General features: G+C 40.8%; 1 long non-coding RNA gene and 1 pseudogene across 1 annotated transcript, besides 4 other annotated features; both read left to right on the forward strand.

Annotated features, from left to right (window-relative positions):
• Positions 1–5,040: 5,040 nt before the first annotated feature.
• Positions 5,041–19,301, forward strand: LOC124909435 (uncharacterized). The gene is made up of 2 exons (XR_007096093.1): positions 5,041–5,614; positions 18,847–19,301. It is a non-coding gene; the product is annotated as an uncharacterized LOC124909435 (long non-coding RNA).
• Positions 9,245–10,023: an enhancer, noted in NCBI's record as "NANOG-H3K27ac-H3K4me1 hESC enhancer chr3:132099837-132100615 (GRCh37/hg19 assembly coordinates)". NCBI's record gives its function as "activates a minimal SCP1, AML or CMV promoter by ChIP-STARR-seq in naive H9 embryonic stem cells {active_cell/tissue: H9 hESC(naive)}" and the evidence as "EXISTENCE:reporter gene assay evidence [ECO:0000049][PMID:30033119]".
• Positions 10,024–10,801: an enhancer, noted in NCBI's record as "OCT4-NANOG-H3K27ac-H3K4me1 hESC enhancer chr3:132100616-132101393 (GRCh37/hg19 assembly coordinates)". NCBI's record gives its function as "activates a minimal SCP1, AML or CMV promoter by ChIP-STARR-seq in naive H9 embryonic stem cells {active_cell/tissue: H9 hESC(naive)}" and the evidence as "EXISTENCE:reporter gene assay evidence [ECO:0000049][PMID:30033119]".
• Positions 10,802–11,580: an enhancer, noted in NCBI's record as "OCT4-NANOG-H3K27ac-H3K4me1 hESC enhancer chr3:132101394-132102172 (GRCh37/hg19 assembly coordinates)". NCBI's record gives its function as "activates a minimal SCP1, AML or CMV promoter by ChIP-STARR-seq in naive H9 embryonic stem cells {active_cell/tissue: H9 hESC(naive)}" and the evidence as "EXISTENCE:reporter gene assay evidence [ECO:0000049][PMID:30033119]".
• Positions 10,977–11,271: a silencer, noted in NCBI's record as "tiled region #8682; K562 Repressive non-DNase unmatched - State 24:Quies". NCBI's record gives its function as "represses a minimal TATA promoter and a strong SV40 promoter by Sharpr-MPRA in K562 cells {active_cell/tissue: K562}" and the evidence as "EXISTENCE:reporter gene assay evidence [ECO:0000049][PMID:27701403]".
• On the forward strand, positions 14,911–17,589 carry G2E3P1 (G2E3 pseudogene 1; annotated as a pseudogene).
• Positions 19,302–20,956: the final 1,655 nt, after the last annotated feature.

The following is a 20,956-nucleotide window of genomic DNA, read 5'->3' on the forward strand; positions in this document are numbered from 1 at the left end:
GTAATGGGATGGCTGGGTCAAATGGTATTTCTAGTTCTAGATCCCTGAAGAATCACCACACTGACTTCCACAATGGTTGAACTAGCTTACAGTCCCACCAACAGTGTAAAAGTGTTCCTATTTCTCCACATCCTCTCCAGCACCTGTTGTTTCCTGACTTTTTAATGATTGCCATTCTAACTGGTGTGAGATGGTATCTCATTGTGGTTTTGATTTGCATTTCTCTGATGGCCAGTGATGATGAGCATTTTTTCATGTGTTTTTTGGCTGCATAAATGTCTTCTTTTGAAAAGTGTCTGTTCATGTCCTTCACCCACTTTTTGATGGGGTTGTTTGTTTTTTTCTTGTAAAGCTGTTTGAGTTCATTGTAGATTCTGGATATTAGCCCTTTGTCAGATGAGTAGGTTGCGAAAATTTTCTCCCATTTTGTCGGTTGCCTGTTCACTCTGATGGTAGTTTCTTTTGCTGTGCAGAAGCTCTTTAGTTTAATTAGATCCCATTTGTCAATTTTGCCTTTTGTTGCCATTGCTTTTGGTGTTTTAGACATGAAGTCCTTGCCTGTGCCTATGTCCTGAATGGTAATGCCTAGGTTTTCTTCTAGGGTTTTTATGGTTTTAGGTCTAATGTTTAAGTCTTTAATCCATCTTGAATTGATTTTTGTATAAGGTGTAAGGAAGGGATCCAGTTTCAGCTTTCTACATATGGCTAGTCAGTTTTCCCAGCACCATTTATTAAATAGGGAATCCTTTCCCCATTGCTTGTTTTTGTCAGGTTTGTCAAAGATCAGATAGTTGTAGATATGCGGCTTTATTTCTGAGGGCTCTGTTCTGTTCCATTGATCTATATCTCTGTTTTGGTACCAGTACCATGCTGTTTTGGTTACTGTAGCCTTGTAGTATAGTTTGAAGTCAGGTAGTGTGATGCCTCCAGCTTTGTTCTTTTGGCTTAGGATTGACTTGGTGATGCGGGCTCTTTTTTGGTTCCATATGAACTTTAAAGTAGTTTTTTCCAATTCTGTGAAAAAAGGCATTGGTAGCTTGATGGGGATGGCATTGAATCTGTAAATTACCTTGGGCAGTATGGCCTTTTTCACGATATTGATTCTTCCTACCCATGAGCGTGGAATGTTCTTCCATTTGTTTGTATCCTCTTTTATTTCCTTGAGCAGTGGTTTGTAGTTCTCCCTGAAGAGGTCCTTCACATCCCTTGTAAGTTGGATTCCTAGGTATTTTATTCTCTTTGAAGCAATTGTGAATGGGAGTTCACTCATGATTTGGCTCTCTGTTTGTCTGTTGTTGGTGTATAAGAATGCTTGTGATTTTTGTACATTGGTTTTGTATCCTGAGACTTTGCTGAAGTTATTTATCAGCTTAAGGAGATTTTGGGCTGAGACAATGGGGTTTTCTAGATATACAATCATGTCATCTGCAAACAGGGACAATTTGACTTCCTCTTTTCCTAATTGAATACCCTTTATTTCCTTCTCCTACCTAATTGCCCTGGCCAGAACTTCCAACACTATGTTGAATAGGAGTGGTGAGAGAGGACATCCCTGTCTTGTGCCAGTTTTCAAAGGGAATGCTTCCAGTTTTTGCCCATTCAGTATGATATTGGCTGTGGGTTTGTCATAGATAGCTCTTATTACTTTGAAATACTTCCCATCAATACCTAATTTATTGAGAGTTTTTAGCATGAAGGGTTGTTGAATTTTGTCAAAGGCTTTTTCTGCATCTATTGAGATAATCATGTGGTTTTTGTCTTTGGCTCTGTTTATATGCTGGATTACATTTATTGATTTGCGTATATTGAACCAGCCTTGCATCCCAGGGATGAAGCCCACTTGATCATGGTGGATAAGCTTTTTGATGTGCTGCTGGATTCGTTTTGCCAGTATTTTATTGAGGATTTTTGGATCGATGTTCATCAAGGATATTGGTCTAAAATTCTCTTTTTTGGTTGTATCTCTGCCCGGCTTTGGTATCAGAATGATGCTGGCCTCATAAAATGAGTTAGGGAGGACTCCCTCTTTTTCTATTGATTGGAATAGTTTCAGAAGGAATGGTACCAGTTCCTCCTTGTACCTCTGGTAAAATTCGGCTGTGAATCCATCTGGCCTGGACTCTTTTTGGTTGGTAAACAATTGATTATTGCCACAATTTCAGATCCTGTTATTGGTCTATTCAGAGAGTCAACTTCTTCCTGGTTTAGTCTTGGGAGAGTGTATGTGTCAAGGAATTTATCCATTTCTGCTAGATTTTCTAGTTTATTTGCGTAGAGGTGTTTGCAGTATTCTCTGATGGTAGTTTGTATTTCTGTGGGATCGGTGGTGATATCCCCTTTATCATTTTTTATTGTGTCTATTTGATTCTTCTCTCTTTTCTTCTTTATTAGTCTTGCTAGTGGTCTATCAATTTTGTTGATCCTTTCAAAAAACCAGCTCCTGGATTCATTGATTTTTTGAAGGGTTTTTTGTGTCTCTATTTCCTTCAGTTCTGCTCTGATTTTAGTTATTTCTTGCCTTCTGCTAGCTTTTGAATGTGTTTGCTCTTGCTTTTCTAGTTCTTTTAATTGTGATGTTAGGGTGTCAATTTTGGATCTTTCCTGCTTTCTCTTGTGGGCATTTAGTGCTATAAATTTCCCTCTACACACTGCTTTGAATGCATCCCAGAGATTCTGGTATGTTGTGTCTTTGTTCTCGTTGGTTTCAAAGAACAACTTTATTTCTGCCTTTATTTCGTTATGTACCCAGTAGTCATTCAGGAGCAGGTTGTTCAGTTTCCATGTAGTTAAGTGGTTTGGAGTGAGTTTCTTAATCCTGAGGTCTAGTTTGATTGCACTGTGGTCTGAGAGACAGTTTGTTATAATTTCTGTTCTTTTACGTTTGCTTAGGAGTGCTTTACTTCCAACTATGTGGTCAATTTTGGAATAGGTGTGGTGTGGTGCTGAAAAAAATATATATTCTGTTGATTTGGGGTGGAGAGTTCTGTAGATGTCTATTAGGTCCACTTGGTGCAGAGCTGAGTTCAATTCCTGGGTATCCTTGTTGACTTTCTGTCTCGTTGATCTGTCTAATGTTGACAGTGGGGTGTTAAAGTCTCCCATTATTAATGTGTGGGAGTCTAAGTCTCTTTGTAGGTCACTCAGGACTTGCTTTATGAATCTGGGTGCTCCTGTATTGGGTGCATATATATTTAGGATAGTTAGCTCTTGTTGTTGAATTGATCCCTTTACCATTATGTAATGGCCTTCTTGGTCTCTTTTGATCTTTGTTGGTTTAAAGTCTGTTTTATCAGAGACTAGGATTGCAACCCCTGCCTTTTTTTGTTTTCCATTTGCTTGGTAGATCTTCCTCCATCCTTTTATTTTGAGCCTATGTGTGTCTCTGCACGTGAGATGGATTTCCTGAACACAGCACACTGATGGGTCTTGACTCTTTATCCAATTTGCCAGTCTGTGTCTTTTAATTGGAGCATTTAGTCCATTTACATTTAAAGTTAATATTGTTATGTGTGAATCTGATCCTGTCATTATGATGTTAGCTGGTGATTTTGCTCGTTAGTTGATGCAGTTTCTTCCTAGTCTCGATGGTCTTTACATTTTGGCATGATTTTGCAGCGGCTGGTACCGGTTGTTCCTTTCCATGTTTAGCACTTCCTTCAGGAGCTCTTTTAGGGCAGGCCTGGTGGTGACAAAATCTCTCAGCATTTGCTTGTCTGTAAAGTATTTTATTTCTCCTTCACTTATGAAGCTTAGTTTGGCTGGATATGAAATTCTGGGTTGAAAATTCTTTTCTTTAAGAATGTTGAATATTGGCCCCCACTCTCTTCTGGCTTGTAGGGTTTCTGCCGAGAGATCCGCTGTTAGTCTGATGGGCTTCCCTTTGAGGGTAACCCGACCTTTCTCTCTGGCTGCCCTTAACATTTTTTCCTTCATTTCAACTTTGGTGAATCTGACAATTATGTGTCTTGGAGTTGCTCTTCTCGAGGAGTATCTTTGTGGCGTTCTCTGTATTTCCTGAATCTGAATGTTGGCCTGCCTTGCTAGATTGGGGAAGTTCTCCTGGATAATATCCTGCAGAGTGTTTTCCAACTTGGTTCCATTCTCCCCATCACTTGCAGGTACACCAGTCAGACGTAGATTTGGTCTTTTCACATAGTCCCATATTTCTTGGAGTCTTTGCTCATTTCTTTTTATTCTTTTTTCTCTAAACTTCCCTTCTCACTTCATTTCATTCATTTCATCTTCCATTGCTGATACCCTTTCTTCCAGTTGATCGCATCAGCTCCTGAGGCTTCTGCATTCTTCACGTAGTTCTCGAGCCTTGGTTTTCAGCTCCATCAGCTCCTTTAAGCACTTCTCTGTATTGGTTATTCTAGTTATACATTCTTCTAAATTTTTTTCAAAGTTTTCAACTTCTTTGCCTTTGGTCTGAATGTCCTTCCGTAGCTCAGGGTAATTTGATCTTCTGAAGCCTTCTTCTCTCAGCTCGTCAAAGTCATTCTCCATCCAGCTTTGTTCCGTTGCTGGTGAGGAACTGCGTTCCTTTGGAGGAGGAGAGCCGCTCTGCTTTTTAGAGTTTCCAGTTTTTCTGTTCTGTTTTTTCCCCATCTTTGTGGTTTTATCTACTTTTGGTCTTTGATGATGGTGATGTACAGATGGGTTTTTGGTGTGGATGTCCTTTCTGTTTGTTAGTTTTCCTTCTAACAGACAGGACCCTCAGCTGCAGGTCTGTTGGAATACCCTGCCGTGTGAGGTGTCAGTGTGTCCCTGCTGGGGGGTGCCTCCCAGTTAGGCTGCTTGGGGGTCAGGGGTCAGGGACCCACTTGAGGAGGCAGTCTGCCCGTTCTCAGATCTCCAGCTGCGTGCTGGGAGAACCACTGCTCTCTTCAAAGCTGTCAGACAGGGACATTTAAGTCTGCAGAGGTTACTGCTGTCTTTTTGTTTGTCTGTGCCCTGGCCCCAGAGGTGGAGCCTACAGAGGCAGGCAGGCCTCCTTGAGCTGTGGTGGGCTCCACCCAGTTCGAGCTTCCCTGCTGCTTTGTTTACCTAAGCAAGCCTGGGCAATGGCGGGCGCCCCTCCCCCAGCCTCGCTGCCGCCTTGCAGTTTGATCTTAGACTGCTGTGCTAGCAATCAGCGAGACTCCGTGGGCGGGCGTAGGACCCTCCGAGCCAGGTGCGGGTTATAATCTCGTGGTGCGCCGTGTTTTAAGCCTGTCGGAAAAGCGCAGTATTCGGGTGGGAGTGACCCAATTTTCCAGGTGCGTCCGTCACCCCTTTCTTTGACTAGGAAAGGGAACTCCCTGACCCCTTGCGCTTCCCGAGTGAGGCCCTCGCCCTGCTTCGGTTCGCGCACGGTGCGCGCACCCACTGGCCTGCGCCCACTGTCTGGCACTCCCTAGGAGATGAACCCGGTACCTCAGATGGAAATGCAGAAATCACCCGTATTCTGCGTCGCTCACGCTGGGAGCTGTAGACGGGAGCTGTTCCTATTCGGCCATCTTGGCTCCTCCCCCTGAAAATCATTTTCTACCAAAACTTTGAAGGCGGTATTCTGCTGTCTTCCAGCATACAGGATTGCTGATGAGAAGTCTATCAGTCTGATTCTCATTCCAATGTAAGTAATCTGTTTTGCTTTTTCTAATTCTTTTAAGATATTCTCTTTAGCTTAGAGTTCTGAAATTTCACCAGGTTGTGTTTAGGCATGGGTATTTTGGGTTTTTGTTTGTTTTCTGTCTAATTCTGTATGGCTGATATGATTTTTTTCCATCTAAAGACACTTGTCTTTCTCCAACTAAGAAAAATTGTGTTCTGGAACTTGAATTTCTTGGGTCTATCCTCCATGCCTTGAGTTTTCTCTCATATTTTCCACCATTTATTTTATTTCTCTACATTCCAGTAAATTTCGTTTTCCAGAACATCAACTTGGTCGTCAGCAAATCCATTATTCCTGTTTTACTTACGAGTATTCTTTTCTTTGGTATTTACTGACTGTTCTTTTTTTCACCGTAGCTGTTTTTTGTTTGTCTGTTTTCAGAAATGGGGTCTCACTCTGTTGCCCCAGCTGGAGTGCAATGGCAGTATCACAGCTCACTGCAGCCTCAAACTCCTAGGCTCAAGGGATCCTCCTGCCTCAGCCTCCCAAACAGCTGAGATTACAGGCACATGCCACCACACCTGGCAGCCTCATTATTTTATCAGTGCAATCTCCTCTTGAAAATCTTTAAGGATACTAATAATTTTTTCAAGTTCTCCTCTGCTCCCTAAATTATCTGTTTTCTCTGGGCTCAGTTTTTTGGGTTTATTAATCTTGGACCTTGTGTTTAATGCTATGGTTTTTTTCTCAAATTCTTGTAAATCATAATCCACAAATGAAGAGCTTGGAGGATTAATAGAGATGGTTAGTGTTGGTTTTCGTTTTAGCCATGTATGTGTTTCCCCAAGAAAAGTTCTTCTTGAATAGCTGCTTTAAAATTCTCACATGCTAATTGCAATATCTTAGTCATTTCAAGACCAGTCTTTGTTGTCCTTTCCTATATGGGTTCTGTTTTTCTGTTTCCTTTTATGTAGACCAATTTTGGATTTTGTCTTAGACATTGGAATAATATATTGTAAAGACTCTGGATGCTATTCTATTATGTTCCTCTAAAAACTTTTTTTTAAAGCAGGCAGTTAAATTGGCTGAAAAACTGTAATGAGCAGTAACTCAAATCTCAGTCCAATTCTTTTAGTCTTCATTTAGGCTGCTTGGAATCTTCCCTGTGTATGGTTAGTTCAAAGTGTGGAGGTCAGCCACAGCATTTGGGCAGAATTTATATGCACAGTATGGGGTTCCCCTTCTTTGGCTTTCAATTTTGGGGAATTTCCTTCTCACTTTTCAGAGGTGATGAATGCCCCCAAACTCTGTCCTCTGGTATTTCAAGCCAGCAAGACGATGGATTTTTTTTTTACCTGGGTTTTTAGCCATCCACCCCCACCCTTTACCCCTGCATGACACAGATGAGCCTGCCCTCAGGCCAAAAGCCTTAAAAAAATAACAATAAACAAAAAAATTAAAAAAACTCACCTAGCGCCATTCCCTTTTTTCAAATGTTGACTCCTTGCCCCTTCTTTCAATTGCTTTCAACTACTTTCAACTAGCTGTATTCTATATTTTGCCCAAAGTGTACAGTTATCTGTGGAAGTGTTAGTCTAAAGGAGGCACAAGACCATTGTCTGAAGTGGATACTCTCACTTGATTGGAAAGAGCAGGTTTGAGGTTCCATATAAGGGCAGGAGTTACAGCAGCAGGTGCCCTGTAGCGTTTGTGAGCAGGGAAGTGGTATGGCAGCTGGGAACATATCAAAAAATAAAAGGAATTTACTCATGGCTGAGGTGAGTGTTTCTGTGTAAATATCTCCTGGGCAGAGTGATTGTAACCTTTTAAAATTTCCCTTCCACGTCTGTGATATGAGTCCCACAATGTCTGCTCTGCTTCCCCTTCAAGGCACAGCAGCCATACTAGGAGGCCTCCCCCTAAAACCGCACCCCCTTTCCACAGAGAGCACTCCTCCAGATTTTATCTTGAAGGAGGCCACCCTGTGTCTATGGAGGAAGGTGGGGGATGACCAGCTGATAGGGAATGCACCCTTTAATGCGTTACCCTGACAAGTATTCCATAGTTCCCTAATGTTGTATGGATGAGCCAAGTTCCTAGCTTCCCTACGGCTCCCTTGGGAAGAACCACATTCATCTCTAGTGACTTCAATTCCTCTGTTTTCACTTCTTCATTGGTTTGATCACATCTGCTTATCTTTGAAGAATTTCTCAAAATATCTGACCTGCTGATGTTCTCTCTAGCACTGTTATGATTTAATTCTTATTTTAACATCTTTTCTATTAATTCAGTAAAAGATTGGGAGAAAGGGAAGTTCAGTACAATAGGTCTTTTTACCCTAAATACGTGTTGTGCCAAACCCCTATTTACTCCAGTGGGGATGGCACCAGATTCAGGTAGAGACCCAGGATCGGCAAATGAGTCATGGAATTTTACTGGGGAAATTACATACAGGGGAGAGAGTTCAGTGGTGTTCGGCTGATCAGGAGAACTGCAACCATTTGCAAAAGGCATGCAGTTATATTTATATAGCATTTTCACTTAACCACCTCCCCCTAACAAGCCTTACCTGGCAAACCTCATTTAACCCAAAACAACAGGCCTTGATCCCCTGTATGGCCCACAATCCACAGGACGGGCTATGGGTTTAGATGTTTCTCATACATAAGGAATGAATCTCCATGTTGGCCACTCCCATATTCCTTAGCTCCAAACTCCAAGCACGCATTCAGGTGGGTCTGCCATACAGGGTCATTCTCAGGATATGCTTAAGTTAAGTTACTGCTATCAGGTACATCTACCATAAAACAGGAAACCTGAACTTGTTTTTCTAGCAAATGGGTCTATACTTGTGTCAAAGTTAAGAACACTAGCCAAGACATTCAGTGAAGGGAAGAAACCAGGCATAACACTATGTAAACAATTTAATTTAATCTCACAAACATGTATTAAGTACCTATTTTTAGCCTTCAGTAGGGTCCATAGTTTCCATCATATTTTTAAAAGGGAATCTTAAGAAAAATGCCATCGTTTGGTACAGGGAGTGCAGCACTGAATCACTTATAGCCTCTGCCCTTATGAGTGTCACAGCTAAGTAATTTAACTGAGGTTTTCGCTTTTCACTAGTTTATATTATTTTTCTTTCAGAGTTTGAGGATTTGGCCCTTCCTTTTAATAGTTACCCCCAAATTTTGCCCCTTAACCCCATATTTCTGGTTTTAAACCACAAGGTCTCCCCTCTTTCCAGTTAACTTTGCACAATATTCTTAAGACTTGTTTCTGGCCATTGTTCAAAAATACACATTGGGCAGATTCAATTTAGGCCCTCTATAATTACTTGTTTATTATCATAACTAATAAAATGGTTGGTGCTAACATAACAGCATTGCTCAGTTTAAAGCCAGAGTATTTTTCTTGTGAAGCCCCAATTTAAATTCATCGGTTACAGAAACTCTCCCAAAAGTATAACTAAAACAGCAATTCTCAAATTTGAGTGTGCATATGAATCTCCTAGGATGTGTGTTCAAGATTCAGATTCCCAGGTCTCAATCCCAGAAATTTTGATTCGGCATGCCTACAGTGGGTCCAGCAATCTGCCTTTTTACTAGGTATTACACATGATTCCATTGCAGGCAGTTCCTGACCTTGCTTTAACAAACCCTGCTTCAAGCTATGCAATAAATCTCCAGCTGCTTCCACAGTGGCTGAACTAAATTACATTCCCACCAATAGTGTATAAGCATTCCATTTTCCTTGCAGCCTCGCCAACATCTGTTATTTTCTGACTTTTTAATAATAGCCATTCTGACTGGTGTGGGAGGGTGTCTCATTATGGTTTTGATTTGCATTTCTCTGAGGATTAGTGAAATAACTAAAAATAGAACTACCATGCAACCCAGCAATCCCATGACTGGGTATACACCCAAAGGAAAAAAGCCATTCTACCAAAAGATACATGCACTCTCATGTTCATCATAGCACTATTCACAATAGGAAAGACATGGAATCTACCTAGTGTTACAGGATCCTTGGGGTGTTGTTTTTCTGGCTGGAAACCTCTGTGGCCAGTGGCACCTTCATCTGAGTTTTGCCTGGGCCCACTGGGCTCATTTTGCCCACTCGGCCTGGCAGGCTGTACTCAGCTCATGCTACCAGCCTGGGTCCCACACCTGTCAAGGGTGAGTCAGACGTGGAACGGTGAGGGCTGTGTGAGCACGCATGGGGTCTGGCCACTGCGCACAATCAGACATGCTGGATGCCGTAGCAGGGCGGGCAGCTCCAGGTGCCGGGACAGATGCTGGCTATCTGTGAGGCTACAGCAGGACCAGAAACACCGCAAGCAGCTTCTATGGCCGGCAATGGGGAACACAGTGGTGCCCAGAAGTTTGGAGACACCAGGAACTGCAGGACTCCCTCTTTGGGAGTCACAGCCCTGGCTCGGGGAACTCCCAGGTCTGGGATCCCCGAAGGGCCACAGCTCTTCTTTCCTTCTCTTTGCCTGCAACGTGGCGAGCAAGGGGCATGTCTCAGCCCTGTTTGTGTTACAGCTCTTTTAGCCTTACTATTCATGAGTCCTGAGACCAGGAAGAATGAGGTATGCAGACAAGTGGAGGGTGAGCAAGATGAAGAGGAGCTTTATTGAGCGATAGAACAGTTCAGGGGAGACTGCAGGGGGCAGCTCCTTTCCACAGGCAGTATGTCCCAGTGAAATGGCTCCATTGTCTGGGGTATGTACCCTGGTTCTTTGTCACAGTCAAGAAAGAATTCAGGACACAGACACACACGGGGAGTGGGCTCAGGAGTGGAAAGTTTAATAGAAAAAGAAGAGAAAGAGAAAAGGCTTCCTCATGCTGAGAAAGCAGGTTGCCCAAGAAAGGTTCTCTGATTTGGGGCGGAATGCAATCGATTTTGTACAGAAGCTTGAGGAAGCAGTGATTGATTTATGTAGGGCTTAGAGGATAGATTTGACCAGGTGTGCCATTTACATAGCCCATGAAAAAACTGACCCTCCCACCCTAGTCTTTTATTATGCAAATAGGGCCTCTACCTGGTGGTGGCCATCATGCCTGTACACGTGGTTTTACCTGGAAGTTGTCATGACACTGGCACACGTGGTGACAAGGAAAAGAGGGTGGGAGATGCCATATCGAATGTATCTGGCTTCCAGGTACAGCTGCCAGCATTTACATATAAAAGCTCCTAATTTGCATATCTATGCCTGACTCTTCAGGCTGCTTTCTGTTAGAGAAGAAACGGTTTGGGGCTGCTTTTTATTAAAGGAAAATTCCACTGAGAACTCTTTTACCCTTTCTAGCTGCCTAAAAACAATTTCTTAATAATTCCTGTGTTACCAATGAGTGTTCAGCTTCTAGGAAAGAGGGTAGCTCCTCTCTGCTAGGCAAGTTGTCCCAACAAGTATTCAGCTATCAGCAGAGGGTAGCTCCTTTCTGCAGCTGGTCACCCCAATGTCTGCTCAGGTCTGGCTGAGCCTGGGGCTTTTATGGGTCTCAGAAGGCAGGAAGTGCATGCTGATTGATCCATAGGTAGCCATGAGCAGGCCTGCAAAAGGTGCCATAAGTTCCCACTCCTGTCCATGGGATTGGCAGCCCAACCCCCAGCCTTCAGGCCCTCCCTAGCCTGAAGGTGGGGCCTCACTGGGGATCCACCCCATTCAGCCCAGGAACCTGTCTGCCTCCTGCTGCCATTCATGGTGCTCAGGCTGTAGCTGTCAAGGGGTGCCCATAGGCCAGTTCTGAGCTGCCCTCAGCACCCCATTGGCTTTCCTCCTATGCTCATCAGAGTCCAAAGTCCAGAGGGGGCCAAAGCAGCAGGGGCTGGCATGTCAGCACTGCTCCAAGTGTTTATACTCCCAGCCGGGCTGCAATAGCGCCCAGGCTTGGCCCCAACTTTGCTCCAAGATAGGAGCAGGTGCTGACAGCAGGGAGAAGCCAGGCAGCAGGAGCAAGCACTTCTGAGCCTGTGAGGATGGTGGGGGCTTCCTGGGCCCCCAGGAATTCAGGATGCCTGGGTCCACAGCTGTGGTTTGGATGGCTGCAGCTGCACAATTAGTGGAGGGGGGCATTCTGCCTGCTCCAGGGAGCAGGAGGCCCAGGTCTGCAGCCACGGTTTGAGCGGCTGTGGCCATGCTCAGGAGAATGGGTCTCCTGCCTCTTGCCTGCTCTGTGGAGCAGGAGGCTCAGTTCCACAGCCACAGCTTGGGTGGCTGCAGCTGTGCCTGGGAAGGTGGGGCCCCTGCCTGCTCACAGGCTGCGAGAGCACAGGGATGCTCAGATCTGCAGCCATGGCTTGGGCGTTTGCAGAGGCACCCAAGGAGCTCTCACCCCAACTCAGAAGGGGCAGGGCTCCCACTTGTCCCCAGCTCCCACCGGCTCCATGGAGCATGCAGCCTCAGCCACACCTTCCTCCTGCAGCTGGCATTATGGCAGCAGCCACTCCAGATGGCCTCCCACTACCATCACTAGGTGTCCATCAGTGGTGAATTGGATAAAGAAAATGCGGTATATATATATACCACAGAATACTATGCAGCCATAAAAAAGAATGAAATCATGTCTTTTGCAGCAACATGGATGCAGCTGGAAGCCATTAGCCTAAGCAAGTTAATGCAGGAACAGAAAACCAAATACCACATATTCTCACTTATAGTGGGAGCTAAGCATTGGATACACATGGACATAAAGATGGGAACAATAGACACTGAAGACTACTAGTTGGCAGTGGGAAAGCAGGGTGAGGGTTGAAAAACTACCTATTGGGTACTATGCTGACTACCTGGGTGATGGGATCATTTGTACCTCAAACCTCAGCATCCCAAACTATATCCATGTAACAAATGGATATAGACAGATATCCCATGAATCTAAATAAAAGTTGAAATTAAAAAAAAAAAACTATGCAATAACCCCTAGGGTGAGTAGAACATGCAGGTTTGTCCACTTAATCAAGATTCTGTGAAGTAACTCAGAGGTCTAAAACTACCTTAATTATGTAGGCATTAGGGTGTGCGTGTGTATGTGTGTGTGTGTTTTAGAAAAAGGAATAGTTAGAATGGCGATCATTAAAAAGTCAGGAAACAACAGGTGCTGGAGAGGATGTGGAGAAATAGGAACAGTTTTACACTGTTGGCAGGACTGTAAACTAGTTCAACCATTGTGGAAGTCAGTGTGGTGATTCCTCAGGGATCTAGAACTAGAAATCCCATTTGACCCAGCCATCCCATTACTGGGTATATACCCAAAGGATTATAAATCATGCTGCTATAAAGACACATGCACATGTATGTTTATTGCGGCACTATTCACAATAGCAAAGACCTGGAACCAACCCAAATGTCCAACAATGATAGACTGGATTAAGAAAATGTGGCACATATACACCATGGAATACTATGCAGCCATAAAAAGGATGAGCTCGTGTCCTTTGTAGGGACATGGATGAAGCTGGAAACCATCATTCTCAGCAAACTATCGCAAGGACAAAAAACCAAACACCGCATGTTCTCACTCACAGGTGGGAACTGAACAATGAGAACACATGGACACAGGAAGGGGAACATCGCACACTGGGGCCTGTTGTGGGGTGGGGGGAGGGAGGAGGGAGAGCATTAGGAGATATACCTAATGTTAAATGACGAGTTAATGGGTGCAGCAGCTCACCAACATGGCATATGTATACATATGTAACTAACCTGCACGTTGTGCACATGTACCCTAAAACTTAAAGTATAATAAAAAAAAAAGAAAAAGGAATAATAGAAGTTGGAAATGAGCTCAGATTTTTAAATGTAATCTTAATAAGTGTCACCTGAAGAGCCAAGGCACTCAAAGAATTAGGCGTGTTTTAAAATGGTGGTTTTGAGAACAAAGAGTGATGGCTACTCAAGAAGATCAACCATTACAATTATTGTTCCCAAAACTCATTTTATTATTAAATGAATAGTAGTATGGTTATTGTGATCATATTTGCCAAGCCCAAGCACGGAAAAATAAACTTTAAAAATCTATAGCAAATATAACAAATAGAAGCTTATGGCATACCATGGAAAATTTAAAGCCAAATTTTAATATGTGACCCTTTGTTGTTATAACATCTAAAGTTACTTGCCATCACCACTTCTCTCCTCCATCCCTCTTACAAAGGCTATACAAAGTAAATCATACTTGAAGTAAAGAAAATGAACGAGGGAAAATAAAACTTCTATACCACTCCTTCAATCTTTAAAAATGGATTTTTGTTTCTTTTTTTTCTTACCTTTTTTTGGTAGTATCTTTTCACATATATGTCTGATCCACCTATAATTAAATTTTAAAATTTTATAAAAGAGGGCTAAGTCTTTTAAATCAACTTTTTACCAAGTACCTTTATGTTAGAAGTAACTATTCTAGTGAAGTGACTAAAGGGGACACATACATAGAAAAGAGAAGAGGATAAACTAGTGGAGCCAAACAGCGTGAGTTCAAATCCCAGCTCTGCCACTTACTAGCCATATGATCCCAGGCAAGTTACTTAACTTCTCTATACTTCAGTTTCCTCATCTATCAAATGTGGATAATAATAGTACTTACCTCAAAAAATTGTGATGGAGGTCAGGAGATCGAGACCATCCTGGCCAACATGGTGAAACCCCGTCTCTACTAAAAATACAAAAAAAATTAGCTGGGCGTGGTGGCAGGTGCCTGTAATCCCAGCTACTTGGGAGGCTGAGGCAGGAGAATTGTTTGAACCCGGGAGTCGGAGGTTGCAGTGAGACAAGATCGCCACTGCACTCCAGCCTGGCGACAGAAGAGACCCCATCTCAAAAAAAAAAAAAAGAAAAAAAAATTGTGATGAAGAATAAAGGAGTTAATACTTAACAAATACCACGTAGGTGTTTGTTAAATGAAATAATGAATGAACAAAGGGAGAAATCTATCATTTCCAGCCAAAAACATCATTATTGTGAATTTTACGAAGTTAAAAGAAGCAAACATGAGACATCATTTTTCATTACCTCTCTGCCTACTCTTAAAAGTGTGGGGTTGTATTAGTCTGTTCTCACACTGCTATGAAGAAATACCTGAGGTTGAATGTGGCCGTGCATGGTCAGCATGCTGCGGTGCAGAGTGGGCCGGGAAAAGCGACACTGACGCTCTGGAACTTCTGCCCAGCGCGCTTTGTAAAATGAATGAAAATAAACCTGGTGACTCACAGAACCTTGAACAAGGTCCATTTTAACCCCTCTTGGACCAGTAATCTGGACCAGGAACATGGGCCACCCCAAGACCACTGCCCAGCTGGGCAGTGGGGAATAGTAGGTGGCTTGTGTTTTCTGTCGAAAAAAGGATGAGTGTCCTAATAAATATGGAGAAAAGAAAACTAAGGAGAAATGGAATCTCACCGTACATTATTATTCTTTGTTGATGTCAAGTGGAATTTGGCAGAGAGGTAAAGAAGGAGTTTGTGGTTTTCTATTAGAAGATACCAGGAAGGAAGTGAATAGAGTTTCTAAACTGAAATGCTGTCTTTGCAAGAAAAATGGTGCTTCAGTTGGATGTGTTGCACCCTAATGTAAACGAAGTTATTTCCCATGTGGACTTCAGAGAGAATGTATTTTCCAGTTTACTGGCAATTTCACATCATTTTGTTGGAACCATCGACCTGTTCAAATAATTACATCTAATAATTATAGAGACTCCTTACCATGCACCATTTGCTCAGAATTTATTGAGCCTATTCTAAGTTATAACATATTACAAAGTGCTTGTTGTAAGAACGCTTGGTTTCATAGAGACTGTTTACAGGTTCAAGCAATAAATGCAGGAGTGTTTTTCTTTAGGTGTACAATATGCAATAATAGTGACATCTTTCAGAAAGAGATGTTGAGAATGGGAATTCATATTCCTGAAAAAGATGCATCCTGAGAATTAGAGGAAAATGCTTATCAAGAGCTTCTGCAGCACTATGAGCATTGTGATGTTCAAAGATGTCATTGCAAAGAAGGGTGAGACTATAATGTACCTGATAGCAAATGGGAAATAAAGCGCTGTCAGTGTTGTGGTTCCAGTGACACACACTTAGCCTGCTCTTCACTACGGTCATGGGAACAAAATTGGGAGTTTTTGGAATGTAGGGGTATTATCTACAGTTCAGGAGTGTTCCAAAAAGCCAAAAACATGTATTATCCAACTCTAATAATGTGGGGATTACAGATTGTTGGAAGAGTCATCACCTAAATTACCCAGACAGTCACCTGTATTCCAGAGTAAAGATCTACTGAGGAAAGGCAGCAAATTTAGAAGGAATGTATCAACACTATTAATGAGTTAGGATTCCAAATTTAAAAAAAAACTACAAGATTATGTATCAACAAAGCCAATATCTGGAATCGTGCCTTAGATGGATTCAGAAATCAAAACTTTAATCCTTCATATGCAATTGAAGTAGCATACGTTATTGAAAATGATAATTTTGGAAGTGGACATCCTGGATCAAAGCAAGAATTTCTGAGTGTCTTAATGCAACATCTTGAGAACTCATCGTTGTTTGAAGGGTCCTTGTCAAAGAACTTATCTCTAAATTCTCAAGCTCTGAAAGGGAATCTTTACTATGAAGCTGGCAAAATGCTTGCCATTTATTTAGTTCATGGTGGTCCTTCACCTGGTTTCTTTTCTAAAACCTTGTTTAACTGCCTTGTTTATGGACCAAAAAATACCCAGCCAATTTTAGATGATGTTTCAGACTTTGTTGTGGCACAGATTATAATCAGGATAAATACTGCAACAACAAAACAATCAGGACAAATTACTGACTTAAAGTCAGTAATAAATGAATGCTATAACTACCCTGAGTTAATTGGATATCTCAGATTTATAACGACATTAAGTGATAAATATATGGTGGTAAAAGACATACTTGTCTACCATGTAATTCAGAGTCTAAGCACCCTTTGAAAGTTTTAAGTAGGGTCTGAAAACCTGGTGTTTTGGAGAAAATTCAGGCTTAACCAGAAGCATTTTGTAGCATCCTGTGTCGTAAACCTGAGAGTCTTTCTGCAAAAATCCTTAGTGATCTTTTTACAGTACACACATTACCTGATGTAAAAGCTTTGGGGTTTTGGAACAGTTACTCATAGGCTGTTGAAGATGGTAAATCTACAACAACAATGGAAGATATTATTATTTTTTTTTTTGAGATGGAGTCTCGCTCTGTCACCCAGGCTGAAGTGCAGTGGCAGGATCTCGGCTCACTGCAAGCTCTGCCTCCCAGGTTCACGCCATTCTCCTGCCTCAGCCTCCCGAGTAGCTGCGACTACAGGTGCCTGCCACCACGCCCGGCTAATTTTTTGTATTTTAGTAGAGACGGGGTTTCACCGTGTTAGCCAGGATGGTCTCGATCTCCTGACCTCGTGATCTGCCTGCCTCGGCCTCCCAAAGTGCTGGGATTACAGGCGTGAGCCACCGTGCCTGGCCAATATTCTTATTTTTGCGACTGGTTGCAGTTCCATTCCTCCAGCTGGATTTAAACCCACTCCTTCAATTGAGTGTTTGCATGTGGATTTTCCTGTTGGAAACAAGTGTGATAACTGTTTAGCAATTCCAATCACCAATACATATAAAGAGTTTCAAGAAAATATGGACTTTACCATAAGAAACACTCTAAGACTAGAAAAGGAAGAAAGTTCTCATTACATTGGACATTAAAATGTTTCCTTGAACAAAGAGAAGCTTCTTTAAAAGCTGCTATTGATAACTGTCTTTTGTTTCCCTAACCTTTTCATCATTACTTTGAACAAACTAGTTAGCTTCTTGGCCTAATAAAATTTATGATATGAACATAAAGGAATTTTACGGCCATTTAGGGTAAGAAAAATTTTTTTTTGTTAAAGCATACTAGTCAAAATAGGTGATAGTTTCTCATTTTCTTGATATACATACTTCATAAACCACAATATAAATACTCTCAAAATGGTTGTATGGATTTTATTTAGGTATGGTAGCATGGTATATAAAAGTAAAACCTGTTTTACCCACAATTTTTGTAAATTAGGATTACATATGGAATGCTACAATTTTTCTAGGTTTATTCAATTTTCAAATTATTCCTCATTTTATTTTAAAGCATTAAATAGAAAAGCTAATTGGTTAAATTTTGTAATGTAAATCAGAGGCATATATTCTGGGGTTTGTGTTACTATGCATGCTTTTCTAGGATGGCACCAAATTAGTTGTTTAAAATGTTTTTAGATTACTGATTTATATTAAGATGACCCACACTGCAGTTAGATTATGCCTAGTGGGAAGTATTATATGAAAAGCAGAATTAAGCTGGGCACAGTGGTATGTGCCTGTAATCCCAGTTATAAGGGAGGCTGAGGTGGGAGAATCGAGATGTTCAGCCAGCCTGGGCAATATAGCAAGACCTCATCTCAGAAAAAAAAAGCAGAATTGCACAAATTTTCTGGAATCTATGGACATTCCATGGGCTTAAACACTTTTGAGGTGGATAACATTTAGTTGAAAATACCTAAGAAAGTGTGTCTTCTTTAAAGCCTTGGCTTCAGTCATGGGAAATTTTTGTTGTTGTTGTTGTTGTTGTTTTTTCTGTATCCTATATTTGGTATTTTGTATGTCTGATCCATAATCATTTTAGGTATTTAAGTGATCTCTGTGGATTCGTAGGTTTGGCCATTTGACCATTATTTATTATCAAGATGGTTGTATGCTAAGGTAAGTTAGCACCATAGCATTACATAGCTATCTTCATTGCTCTTGAATGATATTTGTTATATAAACAATGTATAAAGTAAAAAGGATAGAATGAAAAACCTATTCCAATGTCTCCACTCAGAGATAAGTACTGTGTTTCTATGTATCCTTCTATAAACTCTTTACTTCTGTTTCCTTTATTTTTTAACTTTAATAATGCTACTAAAAGACAATACCTAAAAGTAACTGTATTAACTATGCACTAACAATGTGAAAATATATAGTCCCATAGTCATGTCCCCATATTTATACTCCCATAAAAGAAAAAATTGGAAAACAAAGTCTGATGTCCTTAATCCATTATCAGATTTAAATGATGTAATGGTTCAGTTTTCCAGGAAAGTAAATCATTATGATAGGTAAATCATTATGGGAAGTAAAATGTTTTAACCATATTTTTCTTAATATACAAAGCAGGTGTCAGCTGTTGTCATATTCTCACTCTTCTTAAGAAATATCATTAAATTACTGATAATTTTTTTTTTTTAGATGGAGTCTCGCTCTGTCATGCTGGAGTGTGGTGGCGCAATCTCGGTTCACTGCAAGCTCCGCCTCCTGGGTTCACGCCATTCTCCTGCCTCAGCCTCCCAAGTAGCTGGAACTACAGGCACCCGCCACCACGCCCAGCTAATTTTTTGTATTTTTAGTAGAGACGGGGTTTCACCATGTTAGCCAGGATGGTCTCAATCTCCTGACCTCGTGATCCACCCGCCTTGGCCTCCCAAAGTGCTGGGAGTACAGGCATGAGCCACCGCACCTGGCCAAATTATTGATATTTTTTAAGAAAAGTAACAGAATAGATTTGATAGAGATACTGTTTCTCTTAATACCAAAGGAAAACTAAAATAATAATCCCAGTGTACTTTTCTTTGTTCCCTCATGTTTTTTTCAATCTATACACTAACATACCTAGCAGCAAATTAAAGTTTTACTTCAACTCGAAATATTTAAGAGGCATTAAACAAGGCATTTCTTTGTCTTTGGTTGAATTCTTTTGGATTACCAATAGTAATTGAAGGATCAATTATCAAAGAGTTTGAATAGCTAATGTAAACCGCAAACTCACCATACAGTTTTTATTCCAAATGTGTTGATAAAAAGATACTTTGTTTCTTTATCCACTTTGTTTTTATAACACTTAAAAACCAATACAAATCAAAAAACCTAGTTAAAGCTATTTTCTGGTTTGTAGTTTTAATTAATTTCCCCTAGGGTAGAAATTAAAGCTGATAAGTCACACACACACACTTTGTTGGGGTGGGGGTGGCAGGTGGAGAGCACTGTACTTGGGTTAGCTACAATTAAAAACAGTATTTCAATTCCTCATTTTACTTATTTTATATGTAGACAGGGCCTTAGTGATAAGATGGTATAAATAATTTAGGATATTCGTGTTTTAAAGTGAAGCATAAATATTTTGCAAAATGTTTTCTAGTTTGAAGGATGTTCCATTATTAGGATTTTCAGATTAATCTGTATGGTCAAGGAATACCAGTGAAACCTGTAGGTTATTTATTTTCTGTAGTGTCATTTTGTCAATGGTTGGTATTATAATTGTTCTTTTCTTTCTTTTTTTTCTTTTTCTTTTTATTTTGAGATGGAGCGTCGCTGTGTTGCCAGACTGGAGTGCAGTGGCATGACCTTGGCTCACTGCAACCTCCACCTCCTGGGTTCAAGTGATTCTCCTGCCTCAGCCTCCCGAGTAGCTGGGACTACAGGTGTGCACCACCACATCCAGCTGATTTTTGTATTTTTTTTTTAGTAGAGACGGGGTTTCACCATGTTGGTCAGGATGGTCTCAATCTCTTGACCTTGTGATCTGCCTACCTCAGCCTCCCAAAGTGCTGGGATTACAGGCGTGAGCCACCATGCCTGGCCCCCTCTTTTCTTATTCATTTTATCACCAGTGCATAATTCTTACTGACATTAGATTTTAAAAAAGAATTATGCTGTAAATCTTTATAAATTGTATATATATTTCTTAAATATTGCAATTGTCTAAACGTTGTATATTTTAAGGCTGTTTTCTCTTGCTCTCAATGTTGAGGAAAACTATAAATTGACCTATAATGCATCTACTGCTAATGGTTTTGGTTAGTTTGATATTCATTGTTTTTAAACAGTTTCCAATATGGAAATTTTAACACCTTTTATACAGTTCTCTACTATTCAAGATAAAGATTCTTTAAAATATCTCACCAGAAACTTATAATTTTATACTTTGTAATATTTAGTTTCTATAATTTGAGGAAGGGACTTTTTCATTTGGATTAAGTAAAAAGCCTTTATTTGATTGCCAGCATGAGAATTCACCTTGGTTTCTATTTTATGCATTTGTAAATTTTTTCCCTAATTACATGGAAGCTATTGGAACTTTTGTATTCAATGCTAAATACTAAGTCAAAGGGAGTATAATAGGTAAGTTTTTTCAGTTACTGTGTCTTTAGCATTCAGTCATTATAAGAAAATGATCATAAGAAAATCATTATATTATAAACATGTAATTATTTCATATAATGATTATCATGTACTGCAATGTTACTTTTAAAATAAGCTATTAAACTAGTTTTTATGTTTCAACTAATGCAAAAAAAAATAA

This window comes from Homo sapiens, chromosome 3, assembly GCF_000001405.40.
Source record: "Homo sapiens chromosome 3, GRCh38.p14 Primary Assembly".
Lineage (NCBI taxonomy): Eukaryota > Metazoa > Chordata > Mammalia > Primates > Hominidae > Homo > Homo sapiens.